Source organism: Homo sapiens, chromosome 5 (genome assembly GCF_000001405.40).
Source record: "Homo sapiens chromosome 5, GRCh38.p14 Primary Assembly".
NCBI classification, from domain to species: domain Eukaryota; kingdom Metazoa; phylum Chordata; class Mammalia; order Primates; family Hominidae; genus Homo; species Homo sapiens.
Window position 1 is genome coordinate 21,831,146 of NC_000005.10, and position 14,739 is coordinate 21,845,884.

Below are 14,739 nucleotides of genomic sequence, written 5' to 3' on the forward strand. Positions count from 1 at the left end.
GAGCAGTGGATTGAAAGCCCCATAGTCACATATAGGGCTCCTACTCCTAGCTACTGGGACAATTCTGATGTTGGGAGCAGTAATCTATATTTTCATAAACATCAATACCATAGCTCTAATGTGCTATCCACTTACGTTCTGCTGTATCATACATGTAACTACAAAGTTTCTGGCCCCATCTCTCACTATCTCTTTTTCTTTCAGTTTCCTCTTCTAAAAATGTACAAATAGACGGAACCTACTCATACGGATTAAGGAAGTTAATATACAATTTTAATGGTGTCTTTACATAGCACAGGTGCAATATATGTGAGCTGCTTTTCTCTCTATAATGATCGCCCTATTCTCTAAAGAGAAGTGGCAAGTGTACCACCTGTGGAAATCAGGGAACTGGCTAATGCAGTTCCAGCAGCCAAATTCAGAAAAGCAGGCTAAGGACTTGTGAACTTGAGGACTTAGTAAATAAAGGAGAGGTATGGGGAGATCACAGCCAGAGGCCTAGATGTTTTGTTATTACTAAGTTGGCTAAGTTCTGTTTCTGTATCCATGTACTTGCCCTGATTCTCGGGGGATTGTCAAAAGAGACAATTTTCTCGTATTTTTGCAGGAAGGCCAAAAGGTGGGGATAGAAGAGCTTTCCAATTCAGGTTTTATGTTTTAATTTGTTTGCCTGTTTAGGAACTTACAGGTTTTATTCTGTCATAAGTAAAGTCTCATATTTGAGTTGTATGGTAGACTACATAACACTACATTATTCATGCCACTCTGCCAATATTTTAATTTCTAAAAAAGTCACTTAAAGTGAGCTGGAAAGTAGACAGATTAACATTAACAAATATTACAAGTATTAAATGGACCCATGGCCTTTAACATTATTTTTTATAACGTTGGTAAGATTAGGGGCAATATCTTTAATATCACTTCAATTTTAAGCATTATTTAATATCTTTCAGAAAAATAATTTAAAACTAAAGGTCAGATTTCTAAGGGACCTGTCAATATTTTTGCTCATATGCTAGGTTCTTCTGAGACTCTGCTAATGGCACCATGAAACAGCCATGTTGCAATCTTTGTCCTTTAGGACATGGTGAACAGAACTAAGTAAGTCAACAAAAATTTTCAGCACCACTTAAAAATGATTCATGCTCTCGTTAGCAAATGACAATGTGATATTAGTAATAATAGCCATGACAAATTATGTTTTAAATTTGCTAATTTTCTTTTTATATGCCTACATCAGCCTATATAGAGCCTAGTAAAACTCATGATCTCCTTATAGGAGAATCTGGAGCACAGTGTTTTTCACTGAGCTTGCATTCAAATTGTATTCATTTCCAATGTTAGCCTCAAAGCACATGTATGTGACATTGTTAAGCTATTTGGAAGACGTCTAAACAAGATATACCACTATATATGAGTGTCTGTTTGTTTAGTTAGTTTAAAATGAATAGATTTTAATATTTAGTCTTTACCCAAATATACCTGTAGGAATACAATTTTGCATGAATACAAAATATTCTCATGAGATACACAATTAACTTATTAACTTATTCATTCTATTTAATGAGTAATGGAAATGCTTATTATATATGAGACACATGATACATATCATATATATGATATATATTATATTAATATATATCATATAATATATATATTATCATATAATATATGATATATATTATAATAATATAAATCATATGATATATGATATATATCATATGATATATGATATAATATTAATATATATCATATAATATATGATATAATATTAATATATATCATATATTATATATAATATCATATTATGTAATATGATATATGATATAATATATATAATATCATATATTAATATATTATATATAATATATGATATAATATATAATATATAATATATAATATATATTATATGTTATATAACATATAATATATATTATATTATAAATATATATTATATATTATATAACATATAATATATATTATATTATAAATATATATTATATAACATATAATATATATTATATTATAAATATATATTATATAACATATAATATATATATTATAATATATATTATATGTTATATAACATATAATATATATTATATATTATATAACATATAATATATATTATATGTTATATAACATATAATATATATTATATGTTATATGTTATATAATATATATTATATATTATATAACATATAATATATATTATATATTATATAGTATAATTATATATAATTAATATCTATTAATATATTATGTAATATACATTATTATATATTATTAATTACATATATTATTAATATATGATATATATTATTATATATCATATATTATATATCATATGTAATATATAATATATGGCATATGTGATATGTCATATATTATATGTAATATATTATATAATCTATGGCATATATTATATGTAATATATACCAAACATTAATATATGATATATGATATAGAATATATGTATATCATGTATCTCATATATATGCATACAAATGATTCAAGGAATCAGCACTTGCTGGCTCACCACAGTAAACCAGTGATCTTCAGGTTTGCTCTGTAGACTACCTGTATCAGAATCTACCACAAAACTTATCTAAAATTTAGATTTCTTAGGTCCAAGCTATGTCAGTTGAAACAGAACTTCCCTCACTGGGGATATGGGATCCCAAGGGATTCTTCAGGCAAATATAATTTGAGAGCCACTGTAAGATCTACTGGAGAATAGGGTCTATGTTCTCATTGCCATGCTTTACCTTCAGCATGTATTCATTTTTACTTTTATTGAAGCAGACAAAGGAGCTTTTTGGTAATTAAATTAGATGTGTTTATTCTACTTAGAAAAAAGCTGGTTTTATAATGTATCTTTGCTTATTTTTCAAAAACAGGGACAGTGTCATCAAATGTGATGACTCTATTTCTATTACTCATGCCTAAAATTGTTATGAGACTCAGCTAGTACCTGAATACAAGGTCATAGCTTTTTGTTTAACATTTTTAAATGCTTAGATTTGCAGTTTTATTTTTTATGCCCTTTAAATGTTTCCACCGAAGTGAGAGGATACGCATGCACATAACACACAATTCATATAACATATATATCTCATATATATGAATACACATAAACACACACAACATCAAAGTTCTATTTGTCTATTTCTGTCTTACTCATATCTTTGGGAAGTATTGACCAAAAGGGTAATATATTCATGTACAGTATCTAAATAATCTAGATTAAAAATATTAGTAATGTCCCAAATACTACTTTTGAAAGTTACATTCTCTTCCTACATGGGAGATATTTAGAAGAAAAGCATGGCCCTAAAAACAGCAGATTAGGTAAATTTGTTATCAAAGAATGCTAGCAAAGTGTTAACTGTTGGAAATTACTTAAACATTAGTAGAAATAGAATTGTGAGAACTAAACTGTATACTAAAATTGATGCTGAACAAGCACCAGTACTACACTTTAGAAACGAACGTATATTTGTATAATTGAAACATTAACATATCATGAACTTTGTGTATTACTATTTAAAACCTCCACCTGCTTTCGATTAAGGAAAACCTTACCATGCATTTTGTAGTCAAAACTTCTTTATTAAATTATATGTTAGATAATTATACATTAACCTTGCTGATCAAATTGGCCCACACCATCCCTTCAACCTCAATTATTTGAATAAGCTGAAGTAGTTATCCTCATTTAATAGTTGTAGATTTCACATAAGAGCCATTATTTTAGCCATACTTCCTTGGTATTTGCTTTCACAGTACTTGCTACCATCTTTTTATTTTCCATCTATTTACTTAAGAGAGCATACTGGAGATAGTGATAAGAGTGGCAATTCACCTTTGTTTCACCCTCTGGGGAATCATTTATGTGTATGCTGGGGGTGTTATCAGTTGTTTGCACTTGTTGTGCAGGCAGGCAATAGACTCTTAACCAGACTTTCCAGGAAATGTGGGAGGTGAGAGAGGCATATAATTTACTCACAACAATAACAAAGTCAGCAGTACATTGTGGGTAGCAGATTGCCTTCTCTGGACTCAAATAACAGGAAATATTTTATCCTAGAATATGATTTCATGACTTTGAGACTATATGAATATACCTATATATATACACACACACATACACTTAGCTTTATAACAATTTATAAAGAATTATGAATGCTCAGACTGTATATATATGTTACGTATGTGTGTGTATATATATATATATGTATACACATATATATACACAAATGAATTTACATCACAGAACACTTGTTTTTAGCAGGCAATCTCAGATATTAAGACAGTCAAACATTAAGTACCTGACAAAGTGTAAAGGTGTGTTTTTATATGGTAAAATGTAACTGTCAAAATTCAATTAGCTTTTCACTATTTATGCAAAATGACTTATTATATGGTTTTATCAAGAAAACTTAAGCCTAGTAGCTTACCATTTTCCAAGTTTAAGAATGCCAAATAGTAAACAAAGAAATACACTTTGTGGCCACATCAAGATGTAGCTGAATTCATGTTTATTCTAAGAAAATATTTATAAGTTACATATTTTAAAAAACATTTCTTTAAAAAAAAGACCTATGGTAGATTTCAAGATCATAAAACAACCAATCTAAGCCTGGCTGCCAAAAACATTAATGACAGGATGAAAAGAGAAAATACATTTTACTTAAACATATCAATAGTTTTAACTGAATAAATGTATAGTTATTGGCATATTATCTTTAATAATTCAATAATTAACTTGGACATCTTGTAGTCCTTCTATGTCATAAATCTACAGGAGAAGAAAAAACATATAGCATATAGACATATATATGTGTACATATATACACGTACATACATATATATGTTGTTTTTAATCTGACAGCTGACGTAAACAAAGACAAAATATTGTTCACTGTTCTGTAAACATTCTGGCTGATGCTTTTACTACTTCAATTTTATTTTGATTTTTTATGTTAATTTCAGAATAATAAGAATTTTTATATCTTCAGGTGTTAACAAGTTAAAAAACTATGATATAATACAACTATGTTTTATTCTGCAATTATTGTGTAAATGATGTTTTACTGACTTGTAACAGAATCAAAAATAATATAGCTCTTAATAGAAACCGTCAATATAAACACGTTTGTAGATATTTAATCAAAACAGAGAATTGCTTTAAAATGTTGTTGTATTTATGAGTAAGAAATTTTCTTAGAACGATTATTGACGTACTATTTTCTATGTTCAAATCTGTTTACCATACAATTATCTTATCTATTATTATATTGAAATAGAAAGGAAAACACACACACACACACACACACACACACACACACACTCCTTCACATTTTCTATAATGGAAAACTCTCTTTTCATCAAATATTGTATACAGAGTACTTTATTTTACTTAATTTGTTTTCCTATTTCTTACAAAATTATTATACAGAAAAAGCGACCAACTGGGAAAACTATGAATATTTTGCCAAATGTTAATTAACGGCATCACTTAATTGATTTAATCTTATAATGTATAATTTAGATCAGCTTGTTAGATGGTTTTGTCCTTTAAAATTCATATATTGGAATCCATCAGCACTTTTCTGTAGCTTATTTTAACAGATGGAAATCCTCTACAGATATCCTTGATTGTAGTAGATGGAAGCTATTTAATTCTACGGAAAACATTTTGTAAAGAAACTATTTTGTCTTTATATAACTTCAGTTACCGCTCTTTTAATATGGCATGTATCATTTCTATTTCTGAAACAATATTACTACCTTTATTTGAAGACCGTTTTCTGGGTTATCTGTAGGATCTTTTGGGGGAAAACACAGGCATTGAAAGCAAATTACCATTAAAGAGGGAGAGTGCTAAGAAGTTAGGGTTCTTGGACAAGTTATCTATTCAACCATTCTTAATAATATAGCCTTGCTCCTTTATTTTCAAAAGTGAGAAAATGCTATACTGCCATAATGAGAGTTAAATGGGAATATATATGCAACTCACTTTCTGTAGTGCATGACACACAGTGATTTATTAGTCTAGATCCTCATCACATCATCATATCAAATTGGCAGTGATATCTGGTATGTGATATCTCAGAAACTATATATTTTACAACAACAATAAAATAGCAAACTATACATGCATGATACAAATGCCTATGCCATTTACATTTTTTTCCATCTCAAATTAAGAGGTCACATACACAAAGCCAAAATGCTTTACAATTAGTAAATTTTAAGAACTTAATTTGTGTAGCTTAAGCAATGAGAAGAGTATCTCATAAAGTTCATCTGGAGAAAGGTTTTTTTTTTTTTTTTAGCATAAGTGCTTAAGAGTCACGAACAAATATAGTTAGTTGTGGGAAATTCTTTCTTATGTATGTATGGAATAGATTTTGTTGACTTCCACATTGAAAAGGATACTATTTCAGTTTGTAATTCTATATCACACTTGACGGTTAATTGTGCCACATGAGAAATATTCCTGCAAAAAGAGCATTGGCTTTTAAAGAATTGGCTTTTCTCTTTATAAATGTTTTGTTCTGTTTTTTCCTCTAAAGGATGTAATTCAAAATGACAGTGTAGTAAAAAGGTCTTAATACAAAAACATGTAAAATTTCAGGGAGATGAATTTTTTATTCATTCAAAATGTGAAAACCTCTTCTTTCTCCTGGTTCAAAAATATCCCCCACCCGTTATAGTTTCAGACAATAGTCCAAGTGTTCATGTAATACAAGCAGAAAATAATTTGATCACAGTGATCTCCTTGATAGATTTCTTCTGTCCTCTCATTTTCCTGTTTATGAGTGGTGACAACATACGCCGTGATTTTTTTGCAGATGTGCTCTAAGATTGTAGAGTGACAGATAAAGGAAACTAATAACTTTTATTTTAATATGACGTTAAACTGGAAGGAATTTGAACTTCAGATTTTTTGTTAAGTCAGTTAATTTTGTTGATCTTCAGCAAGTTATTATTCTTTATAGGCCTCAGTTTCTTAACAGTAATATGTGGAAAATAGTGATCTTAGAGTATTGATGTGAAAAGGAAATCAAGATAGTAATGATAAAGTTCTTGACACATATGTAAATGCTTTAAAAGTTCCAGTGCTGGCCAGGCATGGTGGCCCATGCCTGTAATCCCAGCACTTTGGGAGGCCAAGGCAGGTGGATCACCTGAGGTCAGGAGTTTGAGACCAGCCTGACCAACGTGGTGAAACCCCGTCTCTAATAAAAATTAAAAAATTAGCTGGGTGTAGTGGCAGACGCCTGTAATCCCAGCTACTTGGGAGGCTGAGACAGGAGAATTGCTGGAACCTGGGAGGCGGAGGTGGCAGTGAGCCGAGATCATGCCATTGCACTCCAGCCTGGGCCACAGAGTGAGATTCCATCTCAAAAAAACAAAAACAAAACAAAAAAAAGTTCCAATGCCCTTATCCTCTACATTTTTTGCAAGTACATCTCAGAGACTTTCCCTTAGACCTGTAGATTCAACCTTGAATAAATGCCAAGCAGGACTACTACTTTATTCAGATACTCTTTTCATTTGTTAAGATCCGAAAATGACCATCTTGTTTCAGTGGGAGTAAAGCACGCCATCTTGGTTTCCTAAGCATACTCTAGCTTCTTTGCCATTGAGCCATTGTCATCATGCCCCTTTGCCCAGGCTATTTGTCAGGGTCTCAAGTCCAACTTCTACAAACCAGCCTTCATCCATACCCACATGGATTGCATTCTTCCACTTGCTGTAACTTTGTATCCCTGATATAGGAATCCTCACTATCACCCATGTGAATGAGGATATTGACATTACCTAATAATACACTGGCTATTTCCTACACTCTAGATTGAACATATTTCATATGCACAAAACCCAAAACAGCGCCCAATTTCACAATGCCACTTTTTATGTACAAGCAGTCTCCCAATCTGTCCTCCTCAACTAGCTATTACAGCTTGCCACACTTAAGTGGTTAAAAAAATAAAAATTCAGTGTTTTTAGTGTCGAGATCATATTAGTCACACCATATATTAGAGAAACAAATGCATTATTTCTTTCTCCTTTTATATCTCTTTTTTCCTGTTTTCCTTAATAACAAAATAAGGAAAAGTATTGCTTTAAGACTCTCTGTGTTATTAATCATAGCATATTATATAGTAGCCATTTGTCAGATACATTTATATGCAAAAGTAGAATTACTTTTTCTTTAATTAATTATTTTAATTGACAAACAGAAATTGTTCACCTTTAATATATACAACATGTTTTTAAATGTGTATACTTATTGGGAGTGGGATGGCTCAGTCAAGCCAATTAACATATCCATTAAAGTGTAATTATTTCTAATTGCCACTCAAAGCATTTGGCCTTTAGACATTTGGTCACTAAACTAAAACATTTCCATCAGTAAAATATAGGTTTATGATTTTAAGAAAAAAAATGACAAAGTAGTAAAATATGGAAAAACTTACATATAGCCAAAGGAATAAATAAAATGTTCATTTAGCTAAATATCTTCAATATTATATATTTTAGTAGATGAACTCGTAAACTCTCCTGGAGTGGAAAGAGAAAAAACTGTGTTTTTTTGACTGTTTATGCAAATGACTGCCTAGTGACTTAATTAAGATCCTTATACAACCAGTGACAGAAACATGCAGCTTCTGTATTCTAAGTCCTGGGGACACTGAAATGATCCTTGAAAATGCACCAGGAATAAAACAGGTAGTGATTGGTGTTAGATGTAATACTGCAACAGAAAACTAAATGTAACACAAGTGAGAACTCATTTTCAACAAGAAACACAGAGTTATAGAGAAGACATAGGTGTGAATTACTCTATTATCATAGAAACTATAGCAATTTTCATCTATTACAAAACTAAAATGAAATAACTAGTCAGAACTAAAGTAATGTAAATAGCATCAATATCATCTGATACATGAAAATATTTGGAAATGATTCAACACATATAATCACCAAAAAGAAGGCACAGAATTCTAATGTTAATTATATGACATAGCATCTAATATGGTGGGAAATGTGTCAAAACTATGAGGCTCCATATTACATTAGATTTGGGACATTTATATTACTTTCTCAGTTAATAAAATATTAGGGTAAGATCCCAACTTATTTTGAATATGTTACTTTAATAAAAATTGATAGCATAAGACCAATACTTCAACTATTGGCTCACTATTTTTTACTAAAGTAACCCTAGGCATGAATCTCATCAAAATGTTCAACCCTGAAGATTTGTAATTTTTTTTTTTTTAGATTCAATACCATCCCCATCAAGCTACCAATGACTTTCTTCACAGAATTGGAAAAAACTACTTTAAAGTTCATATGGAACCAAAAAAGAGCCCGCATCGCCAAGCCAATCCTAAGCCAAAAGAACAAAGCTGGAGGCATCACACTACCTGACTTCAAACTATACTACAAGGCTACAGTAACCAAAACAGCATGGTACTGGTACCAAAACAGAGATATAGATCAATGGAACAGAACAGAGCCCTCAGAAATAACGCCGCATATCTACAACTATCTGATCTTTGACAAACCTGAGAAAAACAAGCAATTGGGGAAAGGATTCCCTATTTAATAAATGGTGCTGGGAAAACTGGCTAGCCATATATAAAAAGCTGAAACTGGATCCCTTCCTTACACCTTACACAAAAACCAATTCAAGATGGATTAAAGACTTAAACGTTAGACCTAAAACCATAAAAACCCTAGAAGAAAACCTAGGCATTACCATTCAGGACATAGGCATGGGTAAGGACTTCATGTCTAAAACACCAAAAGCAATGGCAACAAAAGCCAAAATTGACAAATGGGATCTAATTAAACTAAAGAGCTTCTGCACAGCAAAAGAAACTACCATCAGAGTGAACAGGCAACCCACAAAATGGGAGAAAATTTTCGCAAGCTACTCATCTGACAAAGGGCTAATATCCAGAATCTACGATGAACTCAAACAAATTTACAAGAAAAAAACAAACAACCCCATCAAAAAGTGGGCAAAGGATATGAACAGACACTTCTCAAAAGAAGACATTTATGCAGCCAAAAAACACATGAAAAAATGCTCACCATCACTGGCCATCAGAGAAATGCAAATCAAAACCACAATGAGATATCGTCTCACACCAGTTAGAATGGCAATCATTAAAAAGTCAGGAAACAACAGGTGCTGGAGAGGATGTGGAGAAATAGGAACACTTTTACACTGTTGGTGGGACTGTAAACTAGTTCGACCATTGTGGAAGTCAGTGTGGCGATTCCTCAGGGATCTAGAACTAGAAATACCATTTGACCCAGCCATCCCATTACTGGGTATATACCCAAAGGACTATAAATCATGCTGCTATAAAGACACATGCACACGTATGTTTATTGCGGCACTATTCACAATAGCAAAGACTTGGAACCAACCCAAATGTCCAACAATGATAGACTGGATTAAGAAAATGTGGCACATACACACCATGGAATACTATGCAGCCATAAAAAATGATGAGTTCATGTCCTTTGTCGGGACATGGATGAAACTGGAAATCATCATTCTCAGTAAACTATCGCAAGAACAAAAAACCAAACACCACATATTCTCACTCATAGGTGGGAATTGAACAATGAGAACATATGGACACAGGAAGGGGAACATCACACTCTGGGGACTGTTGTGGGGTGGGGGGAGGGGGGAGGGATAGCATTGGGAGATATACCTAATGCTGGATGACGAGTTAGTGGGTGCAGCGCACCAGCATGGCACATGTATACATATGTAACTAACCTGCACATTCTGCACATGTACCCTAAAACTTAAAGTATAAAAAAAAAAAAAGATTTGTAATTTTTAATCCATTAGCTTCTGCTTCCTAAAGACTAAGTGTCTGGAAAATGATTGTCATTCCCATAGCATTCAATGACACCATTAAATTTTTTTAAACCGCAATAATTTAGGCTTAACAGGAAAGGTGACATACTTTTGGGGAATCGAGGTGGATTGTCATTGACATCGGTGAGAGTGATGTTGACTATTGTTGTTCCGGCTAATCCTCCAAGCTGTCCTCCCATATCCTTGGCTTGGATGAGTACTTGATATTGTTCTTTGACTTCTCTGTCCATGTTTGGCAAAGCTGTTCTAATAACACCTTAAGGGATAAAAGCAATAATGTAAAATAAATATCACAAATGCTCTGTTTTCTGAAATAAAATAAAATGCAACAACAACATGATTCTACCTAGAATCACTAACAGAGACATAATAGCTAAAATTGTATCTTTTAAAAAGTGAGACATTCAAAATGTCCAATGGTTAGGACATAATTTAAAATATTATAGTAGCTACACAACAAAATGCCATGCCACAATGAGAAATATGGTTAAAGAACAATGTATCACCTCTAAGAGGTAGTCATCATTCATAAGTAAGCCAAGTTAGACATGATTTATATGCACGATCCTATCTTTAAAAAGAAGAAATCATTAAAAATTAGAGGTAAAATATAAATACAAAAAATGCGAAGTGGTTGAAATGAGTATGCAATTTCCAATTATTACTACTTTCTTCTTTGTTTTTCTGTTTATTTTCTAGAGTAAAAATACTAATTTCTTTTCTAAAAATGCATTCAATATCTTCATTACATATTTTATTTTGTCTTTCAGAATTCCCGTTAGTTATTTTAGCAACAGATATTTCACTAAGTTTCTCCAGCAGCCAGGACAGTGCCATTTACAAGGAACACAATGAGTGTATGCAAACCAATTAACCGAATGAGTGACTGGCTGAGTGAATAAATCTCTAAATAATTAAATTTATAAGTGTGAACTTTACAGTACATGTACATATTTACATATTGTCCTCATTTCCTGCCCTGGTGTCCAAGTGTAAAAATAGTTTATATTCCTATTTATTCATAGTAAAAGAACCAAAACCTCCTGGATTATTCTCAAATGAAATCATGAATACATTTCATACCAAATTCCAATCTTTAGTCAATGGCTTTAGGGAGAGATTGGACAGCATTTGTTTTAAACACAGCTGGCTTTAATAGTGTTGTTTCTTCCTTTAAGAAACATGCTACTTTCTTTAAGTAGCATATATAAATAACAAATATAATATCAACAAAAATAAATCAACCATCAACAAACATATAGAATCCAAATCATAAACCCAACATACATCCTTGTTTTATCTGTACTTTCTACTCTCTACTTAACAAACACTGATTTAAATTTGACAATCTGAGATTTCTTCTGACTCTTGGCAGGAAATTGTTGCAAAAAAAAGACAGCCTTCATTTATGCTGCTGCTACTTTATTTATCAATTTGTACTGACACTTTTTTTTTTTTTGAGGCAGAGTTTCTCTCTTGTTGCCCAGGCTGGAGTGCAATGGTGCAATCTGGGCTCACTGCAATCTCCGCCTCCCGGGTTCAAGTGATTCTCCTGCATCAGCCTCCGGAGTAGCTGGGATTACAGGCATGCGCCACCATGCCTGGCTTATTTTGTATTTTAGTAGAGATGGGGTGACACCTTTTTAATCCAATGTGTTTGTCCTTTCTTCAGCTCAGGCTCCTGAAGCTTCATTTCCAAGTCTCTTTACTAAGATTCTTCATCTCTACCGATGAGTGTTCTGGTTCTACATACCTTAAGTTATGTGACTTCTGCCTGACATACAATGCTTATGTTTTCTAGATAGATGCCTGGGTTTGATTCATATGCATTATGTCTTGTCCTGTTGTTGACCGAGTCTATCTTAATTCATTTTCAATAAGAAAATTATGTATAACTTTCTTAATTCATTTCCAGCATAAAAATTTCCAACATGAAAATTATTTCTATCACTATCCAACAGTCTATTTCTATATCTATATATCTATCTGGACTGAGAGACAGAATTGTGGAGTTGTTCCTTTCTGGTTATTTGCTGACCTAAATAAAAAGCTATAAACTGGGATCCAGTTAGATTAAAACATTAAGATGCAAAGATCGTCTTTTCCCAAGATGATGCAATCATTTTTTGCTTAATTGTTGAGAAATTCATAAAAATGGGGTACTATGAAAAGAATAACTTCTTGAAAAAGTTCTTCTCCCACCTTAAAATAAATTGCAATGTTTAAAGATTCTCATGTTAAATTTGGAGTTTGGCTTAGTACCCAGATTTCAACTCCAAAAAAAAAACATACACATAACTACATTATTTTTCCTCTGGAACAGCGGTACTTAAATGGAAGTGGTGCTGGGGCAGGGGAAGCACACCCTGGTCATCACTAGAAATTGACTTTCAAACTACATATACAATCCTTTCCTCTGTCTAAGTTCTACATACTATCCAGTTGGTAGCATTACACTAACAGCAGGGCTAGAAGCAGCAGAGACATCACTCATCAGAAACAGGGTAGAGCAGGAGGGCAGGGCTGTGAGTGTGATGGAAAAGGTCTTGACAATTTTTATGAATCACTGGAAAAAATACACATCTACTCTTAACTCTGATAATACCTATTTTGTCTCTGTTCAATTGCATCTTAATGTTTTAATCTAACTGGATCCCAGTGGATAGCTTTTTATATAGGTTGGCAAATAACCAGAAAAAAACAATTCCACAACTCTCTCTGTCCAGATAAATAGACAGATAGCTATAGAAATAGATAGATGGATAGTGATATAGTGATAGACCTTCTGCTAGCATCTATTTGGTGACAGTCACAAATGCAACTACAATTTCGAAGACTATCTTCAATAATTCCAAACTCTTTTCAAATGTCCTGCTGTATCTTAATAGAAGTTAATTCTTATTATTACCTGAGACTACTGAGGTAGGTAGATAGATAGATAGATAGATAGATAGATAGATAGATTAGATTAGATGAGATTGATATGCTTTTTACATTCATTTTCAGGAGCATAGCAGCAACTGTATGAATAACGGAAAGCTTGACTTATCTAAGGTATAGGTGACAGAAGGAATGTCAGGATTGATAACTTGAATCCTAGTCTAGGATCCATCATACCATTTCACATGAATAAATATATGTAAAGATAGTGTTTATTCAAAGAAATGACAAGTTGGTAGGGGATCATTTGAATAATGCAATTCACAGAATTGTTATGTTACCTAGCCCCTATAAATAGAGTAAGAATTGTGAGACTCCAACAAGAAATGCCTTCATTCCAGTCATCCACTCCTAATGGTCAAAGCTTGTGAGAAGAAGCCATGTGAAGTGCACACATTTGAGTGCTTAGGCTCCAGCTATTCCAACCATTCCATGTCCACTGAGTCCCTAACCTTCTCCAAACTTCTTGTCCTCATTCTCTCAGTTCCCCCATGAATGCCTGCCCAGTTAGTGGACATCTTTCTGGTTTCTTCCACTTTAGTCTTTTTTTTTTTTTTTTTCATGAAGCCTTTTCTGACCCACAGCATGGCTTCAGGAAGAAATGACTATACCCTCCCTAGGATTCAGTCATAGCATGTAGAATGTTTTGTTGCATGTTTTGATTTGTTGCCTGTTTACCTTTCTTTAGCAGACAGAAAGCCACTTTAGGACAGAGAGAAGTTCTTTTATTTTCTTTTCTAATTCTGGCATCTAGTTAATGTCTGGCTCAGAGTGATAAAGGAGATAGAAAGAAATTACTTAGGCAGATAGTAAGAGTAAAAGAGTCCTTGGTAAAATTTCCCTTTTAATAAAAAGCAGCGCCAAATTATTTC

The 14,739-nt window shown here is 32.3% G+C and overlaps 1 protein-coding gene across 10 annotated transcripts in view; it reads right to left on the bottom strand.

The window, feature by feature from the left end:
* The window catches only part of CDH12 (cadherin 12), a 1,102,672-nt gene that overhangs the window by 80,473 nt on the left and 1,007,460 nt on the right, over positions 1-14,739 (bottom strand). For all 10 annotated transcript variants that reach the window (NM_001364104.2, NM_004061.5, NM_001364106.2 and 7 more), the window contains 1 exon segment: positions 11,016-11,183. In NM_001364104.2, the coding sequence (NP_001351033.1) occupies positions 11,016-11,183 (168 nt within the window).